This window comes from Homo sapiens, chromosome 8 (genome assembly GCF_000001405.40).
Source record: "Homo sapiens chromosome 8, GRCh38.p14 Primary Assembly".
In the NCBI taxonomy this organism is placed as follows: domain Eukaryota; kingdom Metazoa; phylum Chordata; class Mammalia; order Primates; family Hominidae; genus Homo; species Homo sapiens.
In genome coordinates this window covers 97,356,845-97,381,508 of record NC_000008.11, presented here as the reverse complement: position 1 = coordinate 97,381,508, position 24,664 = coordinate 97,356,845, and the positions used below count along the sequence as shown (strand labels likewise).

The 24,664-nt window shown below is 40.7% G+C and overlaps 1 long non-coding RNA gene and 1 other non-coding gene across 2 annotated transcripts in view; one reads left to right on the top strand and one right to left on the bottom strand.

Moving 5' to 3' along the window:
• The window catches only part of LOC101927066 (uncharacterized), a 494,634-nt gene that overhangs the window by 64,989 nt on the left and 404,981 nt on the right, over nt 1-24,664 (top strand). The window lies entirely within an intron of this gene.
• On the bottom strand, nt 23,035-23,244 carry SNORD3H (small nucleolar RNA, C/D box 3H). Its single transcript, NR_145760.1, has one exon. It is a non-coding gene; the product is annotated as a small nucleolar RNA, C/D box 3H (small nucleolar RNA).

The window sequence follows — 24,664 nt, the reverse complement described above, 5'->3', positions numbered from 1 at the left end:
CTCTCCCACTATATAAGCCCTCAATTTTAGCCAGTCAGGAAGATAGATTTGAGACTTCTCTCTCATTCTCCTTGGCTGCCGCACCCAATTAAAGCCTTCTTCTCTGGCAATACTCATTGTCTCAGTGATTGGCATTCTGTGTGAGGAGCTATGGGACCTAGACCAAAACCCTGGCATTTTGATAACAGCCCCAGCCAGAGAGGTTGTGAGATATTCTGCAGCTGCCCCAAGTTGTTTTAGTATCAGAGGGGGTAGAAGGCAGATTGTTGGGTTGATCCAGGGTTGAGTTTGTAGGCTGGGGGAGGTGGAAGGACAGGGGATATGAGTGTTGCAAGTGCACAAAATGTTACTGTTTAAGGGGGCTCAGTGGAGAGAGGGGAGAAACAAGACCAGGGAAAGTCTTTATTCATTGACAGAAAAAAGAAAGGGGGTGCAGCAGAACTGAGGTACAAGGAGGTTAAGGATGGAGTTAAAAATATTTGCAGGAAAGACTTTCAGATTGTAAATGCTGGGGTTTAAGATAGAAGATAATTGGCCAGGGGCAGTGGCTCATGCCTGTAATCCCAACATTTTGGGAAGCCGAGGCGGGTGGATTACCTGAGGTCAGGAGTTTGAGATCAGCCTGGCCAACATGGCGAAACCCCGTCTCTACTAAAAGTACAAAAATTAGCCCAGCATGGGGATGCGTGCCTGTAATCCCAGCTGCTTGGGAGGCTGAGACAGGAGAATCACTTGAACCCAGGAGGTGGAGGTTGCAGTTAGCTGAGATCACACCACTGCACTCCAGCCTGGGTGACAAGAGTGAGACTCAGTCTCAAGAAAAAAAAAAAAAAAAAGAAGAGAATCGACTATGGGTAGAGTCAGGCTGTGCTCAGAGGTGGAGGTAGTTGAAATTGAGGTAACTGAGGAATGTGAGGCTTGGAACTCAGAAGTATTGTTTCAGGAAGCTGAGATCACTAGGAGAGATGGACAGGCTGTGGATGGAGAATGAAGATGCTGCACCAGATGCCAGAGTAAGTGACTGAGGAGAAAGTGACAGGTGAGTGAAGGGGGAAAGTACAGATGAAAAAGGTTAGAAGCAACATGGGGAATACTGTGTCCCTCCTGGCCTGGGGATGTTCTGGGCTAAGGGGAGAAGAGCCACACTTATTTGAGAAGATGAATGGGGAATTGGTGTGTGTTGGAGGTCTGGGCCTTGCTGAGGCATCCTGTGGAGGGGTGAATTCTGTTGATAAGAGAGGGCAGGTTCAAAAGGAGGGGAAGAAAAGGTGGAGTAGTAGAGAGCACATGTGATGGTGAGAGGAGAGCACCTGGGGTGATAAGGGCTGCACTTTAGGAGGTGCCAAGAATGACAGAAACTGAGGACAATACTGATGTGACCCAAGGAAATCAACTTCAATGAAGGCTTCATGCCTTCATTGCTTTCACACCACCGTGGCTCCTCCAGGGTGAAGGCCATCACCTTCTATTTCAGGGACATTAGAGCATTTTGGGCCATTGATAAGGGAGGGGTCCACAAGAGGAAGCTCTGATGGGGGCTTGGCAAAGTCCTGTAGCCCAGGCAGCCAGATGAGCTGGGAGATGTGCAGGCTGCTGTCAAAGACCCTGCAGCGCAGCCTCTGCAAGGGAGCTGCTCCCTCCAAGGGTTGGGATGATCCACAGGCACTAGACTGACTCATTAGGAGGGGCTAAGATGCCTCTCCACACAGACTTCCCTCTCTGAGAGTAATTTCTGCACTCCATGCCATGTCTAGTCTTCTTGTCGACAGAACCCCCAAGGTCATGGCCCCACCATGCTAGTGCCCTCACCCATCCTGGTGCCCTTTGTTTCATCTTCCAGGGAGGGCTGCTCAGTTGCTCCCTCTCCCTCCATTTTCTTTCTAGTCTTGATTCCGTCATAAACTCTATGTTCCCTTCCACTCAGGGCTTTCTCTTTGGATTTCCAAAAGTCTAGTTTGGAGGTAAAAAGAGTCTGACTATTACCTGTTACCTTTTTTCAGTGTCCCTGTGGCTCGAGGACCTGTAGATGCCCATGACCAATTAGGGAAAGGGGTGCACTCTAATCTTGTTGTGGCACAGACTGCAAGTTCTGCTCCACTCAGGGACTTCTTCTCCTGCACAGTTGGCAAGTGAGGGAAGAAAGAGGAAGCTTCAAGATTAATATTTCAGGATCTTATTTCAATATACGTACTGTCTTTCAAGAACCGACTTCAAAGGGCTGCACTGGAATATGCCGTCGTCAGTCACACACCCTCTGAGTGATGGGACCTTACCGGCCAGCTGCTATCGTAATCAAGATTCTTCTAATTACAGGTGTCAAAATTTCCCTAGGGAATATTTAAAAAATGATACAAGGGTATCTTCCTCTGCTCAGGGGCAGAAGAGCCACCCCCAGATAGGGCCCAGTCCAAGGAATTGGAAGGTTCTTATTTTGTGTCCTTTTTGTTCTGCAGACTGATTCCTTTGCTCCTGTGGCTACTTGGCAGAACATAGCTATCATAAAGCCCTCAAATTGACATGCTATGGGGTCAGCCACTTGGAGTTGCCCACTCCTATCCATTCCCAGGCCTCAATTCCCAGGGTGAAGTATCTGATGGCTTTGTTTGGATCAGGCATCTGCCCCCGTTTGATCATCTGTGGCTGGGGCAGGAATGAGGGATGAGAGAGGGTTTGGACAATACAGAATGGTTTTAAAACCATGCCCCAAAGAGTTAAAAAGCCAATGACTCTGTTCTTGGGTTTACAGGAGAGCATATAAGAAAATAAACAACTTGCTGAAACTCTGAAACTCCCTCCACTTGTGAGGTTAAAAAAATGGGCTTAATAAAGAAACAATAGAGGTTGGTGAGGCTGCACAGAAATAGGAACACTTTTATTCTGTTGGTGGGAGTGTAAATTAGTTCAACCATTGTGGAAGATAGTGTGGTGATTCCTGAAAGACCTAGAACCAGAAATACCATTTGACCCAGCAATCCCATTACTGGGTATATACCCAAAGGAATATAAATAATTCTATTATAAAGATACCTGCATGTGTATATTCATTGCAGCACTATTCATAATAGCAAAGACATGGAATCAACCCAAATGCCCATTAATGATAGGCTGGATAAGGCACATGTGGTACATATACACCATGGAATACTGTGCAGCCATAAAAATAAATGAGATCATGTCCTTTGCAGGGACATGGATGGAGCTGGAGGCCATTATCCTCAGCAAATTAACACAGGAACAGAAAACCAAACACTGCATGTTCTCACTTATAAGTGGGAACTGAACAATGAGAACACAGGGACACAGGGAGGGGAACAACACACTGGGGCCTGTTGGGGGGTGCAGAGCTGGGGGGAGGGAGAACATCAGGAAAAATAGCTAATGCATGCTGGGCTTAAAACCTAGGTAATGGGTTGATAGGTGCAGCAAACCACCATGGCACATGTTTACCTATGTAACAAACCTGTACATCCTACACATGTACCCCAAACTTAAAGTTAAAAAAAATTGGCTTAAATTGATTGGAACCAATATGGCTAAGTGCAGTCTGCACAGAAGGAGCTTGCTGATGTCACAGTCTGAATTTCCACCATGTGCTTCATACTAGCTCCTTCCAAATTTACACATGGGGCCCATGAGGCAGCATGAGGAGATAACTGCATGACTGAGGACTTCCCAGACCCCCTTTCCTTCCACCAATCAATTGCTAATCCCGGGATCCATTCCCTATGCCTTTTCTAATAAAATTACTGCTTTAAATCCAGCACAGGGAGATAGATTTGAGCTGGACTCCTGTCTTCTTGGGAACTGACTTACAACAAAAAGCTTTTCTTTTCTCAGAAACCTGGTGTCTTAGTATTGGCTTCTAGCAGGAGCCCCTTTGTTTGGTAACAGTTACAGGCGGGGTGTCTCTGTGAGTTGAGAGGTGTTGGACAGAGCATCCCCAGAGATGGGAGAATCATTGCACACATGGTCTGCTACTGTCATCTTGCCAGCTACATTCTGCTGCTTGGAGCCCCCGTGACAACATTCTGCCATGTGGTGGCCTGGCTTGTGAAAGCCAGTGAAGGGCCATCTCTGTCCCTCCCGCATTTGCCAGTGATGCTAGACTGCTGAGCAGAAGGCTGTCTCCTTGCTACTTCCAACCTCTGGTCCTAGCTCCACCCCTAAGGCCATCTAAAATAAATACAGTCCCTTTGCACCAGCAAGTCCTCCCAGTATACTGAAAGAATCTGAAGAAGTGTCTTCTTCAAGGAAGTATGGCCAATTCCTTTAACTTTCCTTATGGGATGTAGTTCAGGTTCCTTTGCTGTCCTGAATGCTTCAGACTTGATCATCTTTATTTAAAGCATGGCTTCCCGGGTTGGATGTGGCGATACCCTATCTGTGGCTTGGTGTGGCACAGGGAAGTGTGGAATGCACTTGCCTCATTCTAGAAACTGCAGTGCATGCAGTCTACAATGGCACCAGGTTATTGAGTGGACCTGTGTACAGCTCAGAGGGTGCCAGAGCAGAATTTTAAATCTGACTGCATGGGTTCTAATCTTGGCTCCAGTATTTACTGATGAGGGACTGCGGGAAATCATTTTAAGAGCTTTTGGAGTCTCAGCTTCCTCCTCTGTAAATGAGGACTACTAAAGACCCTACCATTATAATGTTATATATTTGTTTTAAGTGGGAATCAAGTTATTAATTCAACAAAAGCACATAGCACAGTGCTGGTATTAGAATTATAATTATTATAATTATTAGTAATGTTTCAAGTACCAGTGTTGTCTAAACCCTTTCATGTTTCTCACATGATGTTCTGCCAGGCATCTGGATTTACCCATGTGGAGTCCAGGGTAGGACTCTTTCCTTGTTAAATTTTATCTTGTTGGAGTCTTTCTATTATCCTAACCCTATCCTACTAATTTTAGTCTCTGGCTCATTGAGGCAGTCTATTGTATGTCTTTCCAAAATTCTCACCCTGCCCAAAGTTCATGGAATTTCAGCACCTATAGTAGGGTAGCTTATGTTTTCCCCTTTCCTCTCTGAGACTTGGTGAGTGGCATGGAGAATGTAAATGGAGAAACACACAGCTCCACAAACTCAGATGTGTAGAGTGGCAATTACGAGGTCCAGGGCTGGAGTCGGCAGTCCTGGACTCAAGTCACTACTTTCCAGCTGTGCAATGTTGCACCAGCTAATGGATCTCTCTAAGCCTCAGTTTCCTCATCTATAGTATGTGAACACTAGGGAAATTTACCTTGGGGGTTGTGGGGAGGATAACTTGAGAAGACACATGTGTGGCACATACACAGCAAGCACTCGGTCAATAGGAGCTGTTACATTTACATTGCTTCTGTTGTTGCTGTTCTTGGTGGCCCTGGATATGATCAAGCAGCCCTGACACTAAGAACCACAGGGGTTTGGAAGAGGCACTCATTTCTGGAGCAACACTAAAGCAGTCCCAGGGAGAAAAGAGAAGGGGATGGAATAAGAGCTGGAGGATCTGATGGTTGGGGGAGCCAGGTCACAGTAACAGCAGCAGACCCGGTCCAGCTCATACAAGTGACCCTTTGTTCAGCCCTCTGCTGCCTGGCGTGTTCTCCTCAGACACTGAGGCTATTATGACACAAGCTTCCCTAGCAGCCCACACCATCCCCAGCTGCCAGGGTGAGGCATATGGAGCCAAGCTCCCCAGCTGTGCTCTGGCCAGCTCCCTGCTCATCCGCCAGAGGGCCAGGTTGTGGGGGATTATGGAGTGAATCTTGGTGTGGCAAGAAATAGAAAACAGGCACTTACTTTTAAAATCTTGGTGTTGGGGGGGTCCCCAGAGTTAGTGGTTATAAAATGATGGTGGTGAATTGCAAAGGTAGCGGCAGGCTGTTTAGGCTTCTGAAAAGTATTTTTGCTCGATGGAAATAAAGTTTGTTGTAGTCTTCTATGCACATTAAAAATTAATCAAGTTGATTGAGATCTTTGTATAATTAAAGTTGTTTTTAGGGATCAAAGAAGACTCAACCGGGAAGGGTTTAAAATAGAAAGGATTTTGGCATGCACATTCTAGAGATCTTGGAGATAATTAAATGAAGCTTGCTTCCTCCAGACTTAAGAACAATGAAACTGAAGAAACATCGGGGAGGAACAAACCAGGTTTTTTGTGTCTATCTGGTCCCCGATTATCCCAGTGTGGCTGGCCTTGGTCCTCCCCCTTGCACTGATGTGGCTCAGGAGGAGAGGCACACCCCCAAACCCCACTGTGCCCCTGCTTCAGGACATGTGCATGTCCCCTGTCTCGGAAGCAGGAGCCTGACTGACCAATTGAGGCCTTGGGGGAGAGATGAGAAACCCCATCCCGGGGCCACAGCACCAGAGTCCCTCTGTTTAAAAAGGAAAAGAATTAAAAGCAGGATCTATTCCGCTCCTGGGATCCAGGACCACTTTGCAACTTCCCTGAGTTTTCACTTTGCTCTGTGGTGACATCTTTTCAGCCTGTTCCAGAAACTGGGTTTCCTGTTGGCTGCTGGGTTCCTGGCACTGCCTCCTGCTCTTGGGTGGCCAGCCTACACCTGGAGAGGGCTCTCTTCCTTCCTTCCCTTCAAAGTCTCTTGCTGGAGCCTGAAACAGTTCTCTTTCACCACATCTAACATGTTTCATGAACTCTGCCTTTGCTCTTACTTTCCTTTATGTTTAATGATGTGAATGCTTGCAGCTCAGACCCTTAGTGTCACTTCCAGGGACCAGTATTGCAGTAAATTCCTAACTGGATGCTCTCTCTTTTTTTCTCCAATCCATTCTTCACACCAAAATTATTTTTCTAGAGCACAGATCTTATCATGTCATGCCATACACAAAAATCCACAATGGTTTCTCACTGCCTACAGCACAACGTTAAATTCTTGAGCCCAATGTTCATCAGCTTCCTTCATATAACTACATTCCCCTTTTCCCATTTTCTCTTCCTCTCTGGCCCTCTTCCATTCTAATGTGTCCCAACTGCGGCATGCAATTCAGAGTTCTACAAACTCAGAATGTGTAGAATTTTGCTTTGTGCTTTTGCTTCCACTATTCTCTCTGCCCTTGTTTCACCATTACAATTTTACTCATCCTTCTAGTGATCTCAAATGCCTTCTCTTTTGTGATGTCTGAGCAGATTCTCCTAAAGTAGAATTGAGTGACCAATCTCTTTGTTCCCCCAGAGCTTTGATTTTCCCTCTATTTGAGCATTTGTTTTTCTTCTGCTCTGTGTAGAATTTGTTGTTTGCTTCATTCCATCTTTCCCCACTGTAATGTCCTTTAAGGTTGGGCTTTGTCTTATTCACCAAGTATCTATCAAAAGCAGTGCTTTGCTTGCAGTATAGCAGGTAATTAATATCTCTGTGTTGAACTGAATGGAATCTAAGACAAATTGCTTCTTTTCAATACTAATAACTTTGATTTTCTGTATTTTGAAATCACACTATGGGTGCAGACTCTCCAAGTTAATATATAAATACATTTTCATTGTTGGAGTTTTGAAGTGGCCAATTATTCATATCCATCTCTGGTTGAATTGCTGAACTTACTGAGAAAAAGACACAGAAGTTAGATTGAAATCAAAATATGAAATTTATCTCTGACAAAATGGGATTAGAAAATGCTATTTGGACCTAAGGCCAAAATAGGCAAGATGCTTCTTCCCCATCTTGAGTTGAACTTGTCCATCCAGGCGGGAATGGAGCAGCTGGGCACTGGCAGGCTCATGGCCCTGTGCCCTGTGCAAAGTAGAGTCTATCCTGGTGCTTGTTGCCTGGAGGAGGGAAGAACAAATGTGTCCTGCAGATAGCTTGATCTAAACTTGACAGCAAAAAAGAGCCCAGCATGAGCCACACATGTTCCTTTCTCATTTTCATGTCTCAGTAATCAGATAAATTGCTTCCCCTCAAAGGTAATCATTACTTACTATTTAATGGATCTTTCCAGGCAGTTTCCTTTCATATATTTATAGAACACAGGCCCATATATGTAATCAATATTTTGCACACATTGAGTTATACTGTATTTTCTGCAATATATTTTCCCCCATGATCATATATCTTAGAAATTGTTTCCTTTTCAGCACATGTAGATCTACCCCATTCTTTTAGCTATCACCTGCTATATGCAAGCAAGGCACTACTTTTGATAGATACTTGATGAATAAGACAAAGTCCATCTTTAAAGAATGTTACAGTGGGAAAAAGGGAAATGCAGCAAACAGCATAAACTCAATCTATCATGATGTATATTTAAAAAATTTACTACCATATTCTATTTGCTGTTATTGTATGACTTTTGTATTTATTTTCCTAAGTGAGGTTCGTAGTTTTCTTTCTTTATTATTTTTTTCCATCTTGGTGTCAAGGGTATGCCAGCCTCACATAATGAGATGAACAGCTCACCTACTCCACCCTGCTATGCTCTGTATTATTTTAAATAACACAGAGCTTGTGTGCTTAGCAGAACTTGCCATTAAAATTATCTGAGCTTACTATAATTTTCAGGATAACTCTCTGACAATCTAAACAATTTATTAAGTGATTATGGGTTCATTAAGTTTTTCCTTCCTCTTCATAAGTCATACACATTCATAGAAAAGCATACAATTCATGTGAACTTTCACATTTATTAATGTGAAGTTGTACAAAGTATTTCTCATATTTTAAAAGGCATTATGATGTATACATTTTAAAAATTTTCATGAAGTTCAATTTATTTTTTTCTTTTGTTGCTTGTGCCTTTGATATCATGTCCAATAAATCATTGCCAGATCTGTCATGAAGCTTTTGTCCTATGTTTTCTTCTAAGAGTTTTATTGTTTTAGATTTTACATTTAGGTCTTTGATCCATTTTAAGCTAATTTTTGTATATGGTGTTAGGTAAGGGTCTAACTTCATTCTTTTGCATGTGGATATGCAATTTTCCCAGCACCATTTGTTGAAAAAATTGTCCTTTAACCATTGAATGGTCTTGACACCCTTGGTACCCTATATTCAGGAGGGCTTATTACTGGGCTCTATTTTATTCTATTCATCTATATGTCTGTCTTTATGCCAGTATCGCAGTGTTTTGATAACTGTGGCTTTGTAGTAAGTTTTGAAATTGGGAAATGTGAGCCGTCCAGCCTTGTTATTCCTTTTCAAGATTGTTTTGGCTATTCAGGGTTGAGACTCCATATGAATATTAGGATGGGTTTTTCTATTCCAGTTGAAGACATCACTGGAATTTTAATAGGGATTGTATTGAATTTGTAGATTGCTTTGAGTAGTATTGACATCTTAACAATATTAAGTCTTCCAATCCATGAACATGACATGTGTTTTCATTTACTTATGTCTTTTAAAATTTCTTTAGCAATTTTTTATAATTTTCATTGTACAAGTCTTTCATTTCCTTGGTCAAGTTAATTCCTAAGCATTTTATTCTTTTTGATGCTATTGTAAATAAAATTATTTTTTAAATTTCCTCTCAGATTGTTCATTGTTAGTATACAGAGATGCAACTAATTTGTGTGTGTTGGCTTTGCATCCTGTTACTTTGCTAAATTAATTTATTAGTTACCACAGTTTTTGCATGTGAAATATTTAGGGCTTTCTACATAAGATCAAATCATATGTGAACAGAGCTAATTCTACTTCTTCCTTTATAATTTGGTTGTCTTTTATTTCTTTTAGTAGACTAATTGCTCTGCCTAGAACTTCTGGTTCTAAGTCGAACAGAAGTGGTGAAAGTGGGCATTGTTGCCTTGTTCTTCATCTTAAAGAAAAAGCTTTCAGTCTTTCACTGTTAATTATAATCTTCCTTGTGAGTTTTTCATAAATGGTTTTATTAGTGAGGTAGTTTACTTCTTTTCCTAGTTTGCTAATTGTTTTTATTATAGAAGGTGTTGAATTTTATCTAATGCCTTTTCAGTATCAATTGAGGTGATTATGTAAATTTTTTCATTCTGTTAATGTGATGTGTTACATTGATTGATTTTTGTATGTTGAACCATTCTCAAATTCCAGGAATAAATCCTACTTGGTGATGGTGTATTATTCTTTTAATGTGCTGGCAGATTTGGTTTGCTAGTATTTTGTTGAGGATTTTTGTATCTGGGTTCATCAAGGATATTGACCTGTAGTTTTTTTTTCTTGCGATGTCTTTGTTTGGCTTTGGTATCAGGGTAATGCTGACCTCATAGAGTGAGTTAGAAAGTGTTGTTTCCTCGACAACTTTTTTGAAAAGTTTGAGAAGGATTGGTAATAATTCTCTACAAATATTTGATAGAATTCACCTGTGAAGCCAGAAGGTCTAGCGCTTTTCTATTTTTGGGAATTTTTTTTTTTTAAATTTCAATAGGTTTTTGGGGAACAGGCGGTGTTTGATTATATGAATAAGTTCTTTAGTGGTGACTCCTGAGGTTTTGGTGTACCCATCACCCCAGTAGTGTAAACTGTACCCAATGTGTAGTTGTTTAACCCTTGCTCCCCCCACTATTTTCCCTGAGTTCCCAAAGTCCAATGTATTATTCTTATGCCTTTGCATCCTCATAGCTTAGCTCCCACATATGAATGAGAACATATGATGTTTGGTTTTCCATTCCTGAGTTACTTCACTTAGAATAATGGTCTCCAATTCCAACCAGGTTGCTACAAATGCCATTATTTCATTCCTTTTTATGGCTGAGTAGTATCCCATTGTGTGTGTGCATGTATATATATATATATATCTCACATTTGCTTTATCCACTCATTGATTGATGGGCATTTGGGCTGGTTCCATATTTTTGCAATTGCAAATTGTGTGGCTATAAACATGCGTGTGCAAATATCTTTTTTGTATAATGACTTATTTTCCTCTGGGTGGATACCCAGTAGTGGGATTGCTGAATCAAATGGTAGATCTACTTTTAAGTTCTTTAAGGAATCTCCACAGTTTTCCATAGTGGTTGTACTAGTTTACATTTCCACCAAGAATGTAAAAGTGTTCCCTTTTCACCACATCCACACCAACATCTATTATTTTTTGATTTTTTGATTATGACCATTCTTGAAGGAGTGAGGTGGCATTGCATTGTAGTTTTGATTTGCATTTCCCTGATAATTAGTGATGTTGAGCATTTTTCCATATGCTTGTTGGCCATTTGTGTATCTTCTTTTGAGAATTGTCTGTTCATGTCCTTAGCCCACTTTTTTTTTTTATATGGCTGATGGTAACACACTTTATTAATTTAAAAACACACCCTTCCCCATAGTGCATGGAGCACGTGCACATTTTCCTACAAAGACATAAATAATGATGTGGAGGTATGGTGGAGGTCAAGCATCTACAGGGTCATTCAAGGAGGAACAGATTCAAGCTTTTGGATGATCAGTGTTTTGTATATAGCAGCATCGTTAGATCTAAGACAACAGTGGACGTAGCAGGACCTTTTCTTTGGGTGGCATTAATTATTCCAGATTCAGACCAGGCTGTCCTCTCTGGGCCCAGGCTCTGCCTCTCCCTCCTCTGTCCCCACACTTAGACATGAAAGCCATAACCCTTGGGCCCCTCAGAGGAAAAAAAGGGTGTTGGGGGAGGAGGCATTGTTGAGCAGCCCTCCCACTGCTGGGAGCCTCTGCTGTTTCCAGTAACTGCCTTTCTGGAAAGCGATTCTGTTCTGTGATGGAGGCAGCAGAATGAAACATCAGATTACACGGCACGAGATCCAAACTTGTTGTTCTTAGCCCCAGAGCATCAGAGTTTAAGAAGTTTAATTTGAGGCTACTTCTTTTAAAAGCAAGATGTAGGTTATGCCATTAAAAAAAAAGATAGTTGAAAACATAAAGCAGAAAGTTCAGACATCCTAAGACTTGAAGCAAAGATAGTGCTGGTCGAATCTTCTCCCTCAGCCCTCCTAAGCATCTAAACCTGCTTTCTCACTGAATGCTTCCTGCAGCAAGGCTCTGCCCTGGCTTTGCCTTCTTGCCTCCTCAAGGCAGACTGCAGTTTGTTTCTACCCACAAGAGGTGGGAAACACCACGTTCCCCATTTGTTGTAAGAAATCCATGGGCATGCAACAATTTCAGTATTCAGTGGAGGTTTTCCCAGGCAAATTCCACTAACAGAGGACAAGGAAGATTGCACATCCTGATGTGACGTGGATGACATGGATGGGGTGAGGCTACCAATACCATGATGATGGGGCTGGCCCTGGGCTTAGCCGACTTTTTAATAGGATTTTTTTTTTCTTGCTGATTTGTTTGAGTTTTCCCTGAGCACGGCTTGCTTTCCCCATATCCTATAAGTTTTGGTGTGTTATATTTTTGTTTTCTTTCATCTCTAAATATTTTCTAATTTCCTACATGACTTCTTCTTTGATTCATTAGTTGTTTAAGAGTGTGATGTTTAATTTGCACAATTTTGCAAATTTTCCAGTTTTAATTGTTATTGATTTCTAACTCCATCCATTGTGGTAAAAAAAGAAACTTTGTATGATCTCTACCTTTTAAAATTTATTGAGACTTAATTTGTGGCCTAACGTATAGTTTATCCTTAAAAAGTCCTATGTGCACTTGAGGAGAATATGTATCCTGTTGTCCTGTTGTTCTTGGGTAAAGTGTTCCGTACATGCTTGTTAGATGTAGTTGGTTTACTGTGTTGTGTAAGTCCTCTATTTACTTACTAATCTTCTGTCTGGTTGTTCTATCCATTGAGAGGGGAGTATTGAGATTTCAACTATTTTTAAACAACTATTGATTTCTCCCTTAATTTCCATTAGTTTTTGCTTTGTGTATTTTGATGGTGTGTTGTATGTGTAAATGTTTAAAATTATTACATATTATTGTTTATAATTATTATATATAATATATTCTTTTATTAATATATAATGTTTTTCTTTATCTCTTATAAACTTTTTTGGCTTAAATATATTATGTCTGATATTAGTATAGCCACCCATGCTCTCTTTTGGTTACTATGTGCATTGAATATCTTTTTCCATCGTTTTACTTTCAACCTGTGTCTTTAGATTTAATGTGAGTCTTTCGTAGATGGCATATAGCTGGGCCATATGTTTTTATCTATTCTGCAATCTCTGTCCTTTGATTGGAAAATGTAATCCATTTACTTTTTTTTTTTCTTGAAATGGAGTTAAAGTCTCACTCATTCTGTCACCCAGGCAGGAGTGCAGTGGCACAATCTCAGCTCACTGAAACCTCTGCCCCCTGGGTTCAAGCAATTCCCCTGCCTCAGCCTCCCAAGTAGCTGGGATTACAGGCATGCACCACCACTCCTGGCTAATTTTTTTTGTATTTTTAGTAGAGACGAGGTTTCATCACATTGGCCAGGCTGGTCTTGAACCCCTGACCTCAAGTGATCTGCCCACCTTGGCATCCCAAAATCGTAGGATTACAGGCTTGAGGCAACGCGCTCAGTCCCACTTACATTTAACGTAATTATTGATAAGGAGACACCTTTGTCATTTTACTGTTTGTTTTCTATATGTCTTATAGCTTTTTAATCCCTTATATTCTTCCTTGTTGTCTTTTGTGTTTAGTCAGTTTTTTGTAGTTAAAATATTTAAATTTTTCTCTCATTTCTTTTTGTGTATATTCTGTAACTATTTTGTGGTTAACACGGGTATTACTTTTAACATTATAAAGTTATAACACTCTTGGCTGGGTCTGTAGTCCCAGCACTTTGGGAGGGCAACAAGGGCAGATCACTTGAGGTCAGGAGTTTGAGACCAGCCTGGCCAACATGGCAAAACACCATCTCTACTAAAAAAACAAAAATTATCCAGGTGCGGTGGCACATGCTGGTGGTCCCAACTACTTGGGAGGCTAAGGCACAAGAATTGTTTGAACTGGGAGGTAGAGGCTGTAGTGAGCTGAGATCGTGTCATTGCACTCCAGCCTGGGTAACAGAGTGAGACTCTATCTCAAAGAAAAAAAAAAGTTATAACACTGTAATTTGAACTTATACCAGCTTAACTTCAATAACATACGAAGACTTTGCTCCTTTACTTTACAGTCCTTTCATTTGTTGATGTCACAAAATTATATCTTTATACATTGTGTGCCCCCAAGAAATAAACTATTAGTCTCTTAAATTATGGAGAAAGCAAAATGTGAAGTTACAAATCAAAGTTATGATTATACTGGCTTTAAGACTAATCTTTTAGAAAATGTATTAGTCATAAATCAGGTAGAAAACAAAAGGTGTAGTTACACTTCTGTAGAAAATAAAAACTGTTATTACAAAATACTAGCTTTTATAATTGTCCATTTTTTTTTACCTTTATTAAGATCTTCATTTTTTCATATGGCTTCAAGTTACTGTCTACTGTCCTTTTATTTCACCTTGCAGGACTCCCTCATGATTTTCTTTTAGGGAAGTCATAGTGGTAATAAAGTCCCATAACTTCTGTTTATCTGGGAATGTGTTAATTTCTCCCTTGTTTTTGAAGAACATTTGTGCCTGATATAGAATTTTTGGTTGGCTTTTCTTTTTTCTTTTTCTTTTTTTTTTTTTTTTTTTTACTTTTAGCACTTTGAATATATTAGCCCATTACCTTTCATCCTCCAAAATTTCTAATGAGAAATTGGCTGATAATCTTACTGAGGATTTCTTGTATGTGACTAGGTGCTGCTCTCAGGAGCTCTCCTGCTGCTCTCTTTTTGTCTTTTGAAAGTTGGATCATGCCTTGGTGTTGGTCTCTGAGTTCATTTTACTTGGAGTCTATTGAGCTTCTTGGATGTTTATGTTCATGTCTTTTATCAAATTTTCAAAGTTTTCAACCATTATCTATTCAAACATTCTCTGTGTCCTTATGTCTTTCTCTTCTGCTGAGACTCCCACAGTGCATATGTTGGTCCACTTGATGGTATCCCAGAGGTCTCTTATATTCTGTTCACTTTCTTTTAATCTTTTTTCTTTCGGCTCCTCAGACTCAATAATGTCTATTGTCCTATCTTCAAGTTTTTGTGGATTCTTTCTCCTGCCTATTCAAATCTGACTTGAAATCCCTCTAGTAAATTCTTCATTTCAGTTATTGTATTTTTCAGCACCAGCATTTCTTTTTGGTTTCACTTTAGGTTTTTCTCTTTATTGATATTTCCATTTTGTTCATACATCATTTTCTTGACTTTCTTCACATTTTCCTTTAGTTCTTTGGACATCTTTAAAAGAGTGGTTTTAAAGTCTTTGATGAGAAGAGCTGCCATCAGATCTTGTTCAGGGGCAGTTCTGTTGATTTATTTTTTTTATTCCTTTGAATGGGCCTTTCTTTGCTCTTCCTTTGGGTTTTGTGAATTTTTGTTAAAAATTAGACACTTAAATCTAATAATGTGGTAACTTTGGAAATAAAATTCTCCCCTTCTCCGAGGGTTTGCTGGTTTTTGTTATTTTTAATTGTTTTGGATTTGATTGTTGTGGGTTGTCTCTGTGCCAAGGATCAGCCTGAAGTGTAAACTCAACATCTTCTCAAGCCTTTTCTGAGCCTGTGCCTTTCTCTGGGCATGTTTGGTCACTTTCTAATTCTCCCTGCATATGCAGTTATTTTTAAATATTCTAGTGTCTAATATCTGGCTCCCAAAAGGGAAAAAAAAAAAAGGGTGGAAAGTTCACTTTAAATCCCTTGGGGTCAGGTGCAGTGGCTCATGCCCTAATCCTAGCACTTTGGGAGGCCGAGGCAGGGTGATCACAAGGTCAGGAGTTTGAGACCAGACTGGCCAACATTAGTGAAATCCCATCTCTACTAAAAATACAAAAAAAAAAAAAAATTAGCTGGGCGTGGTGGCACCTGTTGTGCCTGCAATCCCAGTTATTTGGGAGGCTGAGGCAGGAGAATCGCTTGAACCCAGGAGGCAGAGGTTGCAGTGAGCTGAGATCATGCCACTGCACTCCAGCCTGGGTGACAGAATGAGACTCCATCTCCAAATAAATAAATAAATCCCTTGGACATCTTTTCAGGCAGAAGAGGAAAAGCTTGCCAACACTTTTTTGCACCTCTTTGGTCAGAAGTAGAAATTAGCAATCAAAGCACAGAGCACAGATCTCTGATATCTGGAGGACAGAATGTTTTTTGCTCACTTTGGCTCCTGCAAGCTGTGTGCAGATTGCTCTAGGAACGCATGCACAACCACCTGCCATGGGGCTGAGGGGTGAGGGACGGGTAGCTGCTGCTGGGCTAAGAGCTGAAATTGATCAAAATTAATGCAGTTTACTATTCAAAACTTCCCCTGGAAGTTGCAAAACTTAATGGACTCCAGTGTTTGAAAATAGTTAAATCAGACAGATCCTGCCAGTGCAATTTTTGTCTAGATAGGGGGACATATTACTGGTGCTTCCTACTCTGCTGTCTTCCCAGAATCCTCTCTCTACTTTTTTTTTTTTCTTACTGCAGTAGCCAAATCCCTTAACCTCCAATATGTAGTACACACCCTTTCCTTTCTAAATAGTTTGTAATTACTCTTTTAATTAACTAGTTTTTTTGAAAAGTGTTTTTGAATTCCCAAATAAATTAGGTTTTTTTTGTGGGTGGTTATATTAGTTTCCTACTGAAACTGTAATAAATTACCACAAATTCAGTGATGTAAAACAATACAGTTTTTTTCTCCTATAGTTCCAAAGGTCATAAGTATGGAATCAGTTCTCACTGGGCTAAAGTCAAAGTATTGGCAAGTCTAGTTTATTTTGAAGGCTCTGAGAGGAGACTATTTCTTTGCCTTTTTCCCCTTCTTGTGGCTGCCCGATTCCTTGGCTTGTGGACCCTTTCTTCACCTTCAAAGCATGCCGTTCCAATCTCTGCTTCTGTCACCACGTTGCCCTTTCTTCCATAGTAGTATTTTCTTCTGCTTTCCTCTTATAAGAATACTTGTGATTTCATCGTTCATCCTACCTAGATAATGCAGCGTATTCTCCCCATCACAAGATCATTAACTTAATTACATCTGCAAAGTTCTTCTAGCCATATAAAGTGACATCTTCACAGGTTGTGGTGACTAGGATGTGGACAACTTATGGGTCCATTATTCAGCCTACCTCAGAGGTACCCTTCTCTAGTTGTGAGTTTTTAATGTGTTTTATTTCTGCCTTAGTGAATTTGTTAATTTTTTTTTGTGGAAAAATTAAGATTTTTAAAGTTTTGAAGAATACTGTAATTTAAACACCTGGTGACAACATATAGTAGGAGTGTATTAAAATTGTTAGGAACAGTTATACAGAAAACAGGAGAAAAGCTGGCCTCTTGGAAAAAAATGAATCAGTAAATGATTACATAAAATCAGAAAAGAAAAGATAAAATTAGAGTTAAACTGAAATATCACATGAGTTTATAATATTAAAATAGCTTCCACTGTGTCACTGATGTAGCATAGAAAGGTTTTGGTGTAACTATCCTTATAGCCAATAATAAAACAAAATCCTGGAATAAACAGTGGTTGCTAATGGTAACCAGTGTTTTTCAGCAGCATGCCCAAGGGCTCTACAGCCCTATCTTGCAAGATCTGGGAAATGGAGAAAAAATATTTGTGAGGCCCCACTTGAGGTCTTTTGGTTGGGACTCTTGATTGCTTGCTCTTTTATTATGTGCCTTTGTATCAGAAGGAAGTTGTAATGGGATTTTGCCATGGCTGGTGTTCACAATGGATTTCGCCCTGGGTGGTGGTTTTAAGTAAATTTAGCCACAGGTCTATAATCGGCTTGCTGGAATTATAACCTGAAAGTTCCCTGTAGGGCTTGGCATCAGGTTCCTGGCGTTCTTTGTATACTCTACCCTTAAGCACTATGCAAGCAACCCTAGCTCTGGATTCTGGGACTGTTTACATAATTGGTGTTTCCAATGTTTGGGCAGAGAGCTGAAATCAATATGGGCAATGTCTAAATATTATTTAAACATTGCATATGATAGTGAATAAAGGGTGGTGAAATCCTTTGATCAGCCTGTCTCTTGGTGTTCTGAAATTCATCCCATTGTGCTTCAAAGAATCAAAGTATAATCTATCCCTGAGATAGCAAAATTCTAAAATCTGGTCAGCTGCAAAACATGCACCAACTTATTTGGATTTAACTGTAAGTGATCCTGGTTTCTTTACTTACAAGTCATGGTAGAATGACATTTTTTGTTTTGCTTTAATCATATCTGTCAGAGGTGACAACTTTCTAGAATTGTATGAGGTTAATTAAAATACTGGCACAGTTTACATCATAGACAATTCATTTAGAGAGGTGGTCTTTATGTATATTTGAAAATACTTTCTTTTTGACCTCTATTAGTCAGTTAGTTTGGATGAAAATGGGATTCTAGATTTAAAATTGTTTTATATTAGTAGATTCAATATATTTCTCCCTGGTGTTCAGGCATCCGATGAGAAATTTTATTAGGATATGCCTGAGCATGGGTCTTTTTTTAATTAATAGTCTAGGGCACTTGGAAATTCCTTTCTAGAACTTTGGAATATTTTCTTATGTTAAAAATTACTTCCCAGTCCCACATTTAAGAAATCATAGATGATATTGGGCCTCATGAAGTAATCCTCCACGTCTCTTACTTTTTCCTTCATTTTTTTTTTATCTTTTTGCCCTAGTTATGGATGATTTTCTTGACTTCATTCTTCAGAATGGTAACTTGGTCTTTAGACATATTACTCTTCTATTTCCCTCAAGGAGAGTGATTTTTATCTCAGGAGTGATATTTTGACTGCAGCTGGGAGAATGAACTGGAGGATGTACCACTGGAGAGAAGGAGACCAGTAAGGAGCTTTTGCAGTAGCATGGATGAGAGATGATGGTGACTTGTGCTGCAAAAACTGAGGGAAGTAGAAGGATTAGAGGAAATTGGAGTTGGAATAGATAGCATGTGGGGATTTGATTTAGCATCAAAGAAGAGGAAGAAGCCAGGATGAGGCTCCGGTTTAGACTTTGGCAGCTGGATAACTATTATGCCATAGAGGTCTCAGGAGTAAGAGCAGCTATAGGGGTAGATAACGAGTTCAAGTTTGGATATGTTGAGTTTTAGGTGCGTCTGAGTCATATGGATGGAAATATCTATCAGACAGCTGGATTTATTGGTTTGGAACTCAGCAAAGATATCTGACAAAGAGTTATGGCTTATGGATTTAGTAGCATATAGATAGAAATGGAAGCATAGAGCTAATAATACTACTCACGAGAATGAGTAGAACAGAAAATGATGTTTAAGGGACAGATAGAGGAAGACAGGTCCCCAAAGAGGCAGAGAGGGAGCAGATAGAAAATGTATTAGTTTTGATAGTGGCCATAACAAATGAACACAAATTCATCATTTAAAAATAATATCCATTTATTATCTCAGTTCTGTAGGTCAGGAGTCTGGGCACAGCATGACTCAGCTGGTTTTTAGTTTGTTCTTAGCTTAGAGTTTCACCAGGCTGAAATCAAAGAGTTAGCAGAGCTGCAGTCCTGGCTGGAAGCCCCAGCGGGGAGCATCCATTTCCAGGCTCTCTCAGGTTATTGGTAAAATTCCTTGCTGAATGGAAGATGTCCTCAGCTTCTAGAGGCTACTCACACTCCCTGGCTCATGGCTCCCTTCAAAGCCGGCAGTGACAGCACAGTCCTTTTCACATTTTGACTCTCTATTGCCACATCTCTCTGACTGACTCTTCTGCCTTCCTCTTCTGCTTTTCAGGGCAGATGTGGTTACATTGGTCCCACTTGAATAATCCAGGTCACTCTCCCTATTTAAAGGTCAGCTGATTAGTAACCAGAACTCCATCTGTAAAGTCTCCTCACAGCAAAAACTAGATTAGTGTTTAATTGAATAATTGGGAGATGGGAATTTTGAGAGGACATATTTAGAATTCTGCTTATCACAGAGAGACAGAAGACAAACCAGAAGAGTGTAGTGTTATGGAAACTAAAGGAGTAGTGTTTCAAAAAGGGGGGAGTAATCAACGGTGTCAAATCCTATACAGACGTCAAGAAAGACGGGGCCTGGGAGTGGAGCATATGCCAAATTATAGTGGGTGTGTGGGGGACTGGGAAGCAAGAAGCAGAGACTAGGGGCGCAGACAACTCTTTAAACGAGTTTGCCTGTGAATAGGAGAAAAATAAGACAGCAGCTTGGGAGAGTAATTATATATTTTTTTAGATGGAAAAGACCTAAGACCTTTTAAACACTGGTGGTGAAAAGACATTAGAAAGAGAAAGAAAGGGCGGCAATTCAAGATAGAGGGATAACTTAGAGAACAAGGAGTTCAAGGAGTGGGGACGCAAGGGACCTTGGAGCATCGGCCAAGGGACTGGTTGTTGACAGGAGAAACATGATTCTCTTTGTACAAAAAAGGAGGATAGAAGGAAGGTGCAACGATGTGAGTCTGGACACAGGAAGGTGGAAATAATCCTCAGATAGCTTCTGTGTCTCCTCTCTCAGAAAGGTGGTCTTCTGAGAGAGTGTTTTCCGGTAGCTTGTTAAGTCCTGTTAGAGCAGCGGCCATATCTGTCTTTTCACTGTGTTGTCCTTATGCTTAGTGCAGCATCTGACACATGGTTGACACCCAGCCAGTATTTGTTGAAAGAAACAATGAATGGATAAATAAATGCACAAGGCTGAGAGGGTAAAGAAGTCATAGGGGCTTTGGTAAGAGTGGAGAAGGTTTGATACAGCCACTGTCGAGAAAGCTAACTAGAAAAATGCGAACACTGTCTTAAGGATCCAGGTGAGGCCAGAGACCATGATTAGCTAGAGTTTTGATGGATATTTTGATTTTCTTCGCCACTGCTCAGAAGCTTAGGTAGAGATGAGGAATGCCAGAAGCCCAGGTAGAGATGAGGAAGGCCAGATGTTTGCATTGGTTTGGGTGTGGGATTTTGCCAGGCAGGTGCAACAGGAGGACAGATGGAGTAAGGGATTTGAAGATATTGGCAAAGGAGCGGCTGAACTAATGAGCTGTAGGATCTGGACCGTGTGGGCAAGGAAGTGAAGAGAGAAAGGACTGATCAGTAGACGGGATGAATGGCTTGGGGTTCTCAATGTGATAGGCAAAACCCAGATGGAGTGAGAGCAGTAAAGGCATGGGGAAAATATTGAGGATATAGCAAGGTGCTTTAAATTGGGTAGCATTCCCAAATGGCCTGGTGGAAGGTTTGGGACCAGTGGGAGTTCAGGCCTAAGGAGATAAAATCCAAGGAGGTACAGGGATGAGAATGAAGGTGAGGATAGCATCCATTAGAACTTATATTTAATAATAAAGAGAAGCCCATGATCGTGGTGGGTTTAACTAACTGGAAAGCCACAGAGAGTTATTTTTTGCAGGACTTTGGTGGATGGTGGAGTGGTCATCTTAGAAATAATCATCCTCCATCTGAACTGATAGAATGTCCAAAGAAGCATGGGTTTTTGGTGGTGGGGGATAGCCTGGTTTCCCTGGAATGCGGTAGCCAAGGTTTTGAGCATGCTTAAGACTGGAGAGGTGCTGAGTACTGTACCTAAGTTATTACTTGTCATGTGTGTCATTCGCTTCTATCCCCTTGCACTAAAGCTCTTACTAGTATATTAATTCCTGATGGCTGCTCTAACAAATTACCACAAATCAGAAATCTGAAATCAGTATCACTGGGCTGAAACCAGAGTCAGCAGGGCCACACTCCCTCCAAAGGCCCTAGAAGAGCGTAGGTTCCTTGCCTCTTCCAGCTCCTGGTGGCTCCCAGCTTTCCTTGGCTTGTGGCCACATTCCTCCAGTCTTGGTCCCTGTGGTTACATTGCCTTCTCTTCTGTGTCAGATATCCCTCTGCCTCTCCCTTACCAGGATACATATGATGGCATTTAGCCCCATCCAGATAACCCAGGAGAATTTTCTCATCTCAAAATCTTTGACTTAGTCAACATCTGCAAGGAGTTTACTACAATCATGTCACTTAGTGATGGGATACATTCTCAGAAGGCCCAGGACATTACTCTACATTACTGTATACTTTATAAACACTGTGCCCTTGAGCTACACTAACTTTATAAAAATATTTTTCTTTCTTCAATAATAAATTAACCTTAGGTTGCTATAACTTTTTAACTTTATGAACTTCTAAATTTTCTTAACTTTTTGACCCTTTTGTAATAATACTTAGCTCAAAATACAAACACACTGTACAGCTATACAAAATATTTTATTCTTTATATCCTTGTATAATAAACTGTTTTCTGTTTTCAAAATTATCAATTATTTTAAACATCCCCCCACGTCCTCAGGCATGTTCCAGCATCTGGATGGCCACCTGGACCTCTATCATCTTTCAGGAGATGTTGCCAGCACTCTGCTTATGATAGACAGTTTTCAAGGGTAGGCTGCAGTTTATTAAAAATGATCTTTTAGGAGATAGCAAGAGGTGGTGGTCTCTTCCACCGTTTTCAGTTTCCTTTCCATATTCTTTGAATGCAGTGTTGGCAAGCCAATAGGTACAAAAACTCTAGAGACAGAGACAGCACAGTGAATTGAGATTTCTTTGCAATCATTCTTCCTATAGGGTTCAACTTCACATTTATAAACATACTTTTGATATGTAGTTTCTGGCCACCAGAGACTTGAGTGAAACATATTTTCTTGTCCTCAGTTACCTCACAGAGCATTGAAGGAAAGAGGTATTAAAGTTGCTATTTAAGCCAAGGCAAAATGACTAAAAGCTAAAGTGAGGTGAAAGTAACAAGTAATGAGAAGAATAGACCCACTTGCATGGCAAAACAGAAAGAATATGGGATCTACAGTCAGACTAACCTGGGTTGGAACCATCCCTGCTGTTTGCTAACTAAGTGACGTTAGGCAAGCTACCTCACCTTTCCAAGGCTTTGTTTTTTCAGCTCCAATCTAGAGATGATAATATGTATTCACAGGGCTACTTGAAGATGTCATAAGAGAATATATATAGAGTGCAGTTTCTGTCATGGGAAGCCAAGGCATGAAGGAAACCTTAGTGCACTGGAAAGAACATAGCCACCGGGGTGTTATGAGTTCAAATTCTGCTCCTGTCAGTCACTAGGGGTATGGGTTAATTACACAATATCCAAGAGACTTTTCTTTTTCTTTTTTAAAGCAGTAATTACTCAGACTGCATCCTGTACCCTTTTACTCTCCCAGAGGAAGAGAAGAACGATCATCAATGGCAAATGGCAGTTGCAGAGAAGCAACACTGAGAGCTCACTTCATGCTCAGAAGAGAAGGCAGCTTCTCCTCACGGTTTCCAGTGCTCTACACGTTCAGAGAAATTTCTCTAGTAAAAAACTATAGAAATGATTCCTGAGAGTATAGTCTTTCTGACTAGAAAAGAGCCATTTATAGTCTTTCTGACTAGAAAAAGAGCCTTCTATAGTCTTTCTGACTAGAAAAGAGCCTTTTCTGATCTGTCAAATACTCAATAATACTTTGCAGGGATATTGGGAAGATTAGAAAATATAATTTTAGTTAATATTATGGAAGAAAGTGATTCATTCTATTTGAGAAGGGATCTAGGTTAATTACAGGGTAGAGATAGAATTTGAACTGGGTCTTGCAAGCTGAAAATTTTGATAGCTGGAGAAAGAGGGAGAGGCATTTGGGATGAAGGAATGACATGAACAAAAAAATGCAGAGTACATTGTGCATGCAGGAAATGGTGTGTATGCTGTCATGGTGGATAGTGGAGTATGGGTGGAGAGCACCAGCAGGGACAGCTGGGGAGATGGGTTGGGGTTGGATGATGAAAAGCTTGCTGGAAGTGCCAAGAGGTGGTTTAGAGAAGGCCCAGCTTCTTACATTAAGACAGTGTTCTCCAAAGAGGAGTGTGCAGGATGATACGAAGAAATGTGGGAAGAAAATAGAACTTCCAGAGAACTTCTCTCTATATTCATTTTATATTTCATTCCTCCCAATCTTTATTTTAATGGATGTTTTGTATTGCTTATAAAATACTGTACAGTAACTGATACTTATAATCTACTATATATATGTATGTGTAAAATGGTTACTGATGGAGTGTAGGATCCAAAGTTCAGTGACCACACAGTTCTTTAAGGCACAGCAGCACAGCCTGCCTCACACTCCCACTTAGAGTGTAGTCATATGGTTCAGCCCTGTGTCCCCACACAAATCTCATTTTGAATTGTATTCCCCATAATCCCCATGTGTCGAGGGAGGGACCTAGTGGGAGGTAATTGAATCATGGGGTCGTTTCCCCCATGCTATTCTCGTGATAGTGAGGGAATTCTCATGAGATCTGATGTTTTTGTGAGTGTTTGACAGTTCCTCCTTCACATGTGCTCTCTCCTGCCGCCATGTAAGACATGCTTGCTTCCCCTTCTGCCATAATTGTAAGTTTCCTGAGCCACTCCCCAGCCACGCGGAACTGTGAGTCAATTAAACCTCTTTCCTTTGTTTACAAATTACCCAGTCTCGGGTAGCATCTTTATAGCAGTGTGAAAACAGACTAATACATGTAGGCAGACTCCTGGTTGCGCCCAGGGATGATGATGTACTGTTTAGGTGGACAGATTGGTTCTGTGGCTCTAGGATGCCATGTCTGGACTCTGACAGTTGCCTTTAAAGGAGGTGGGAAGAAACAATTGTTCCAGATGCTGAGGTTGAGTCCCATTGGCCATATCAACAACATCTTCCAACGTCTAACTTGTCCTAACAACCCTCTACAAGTCCATGTATTTTGTTACTGGTTTACCTTGGAGGCTCCCACAGGATGTGAT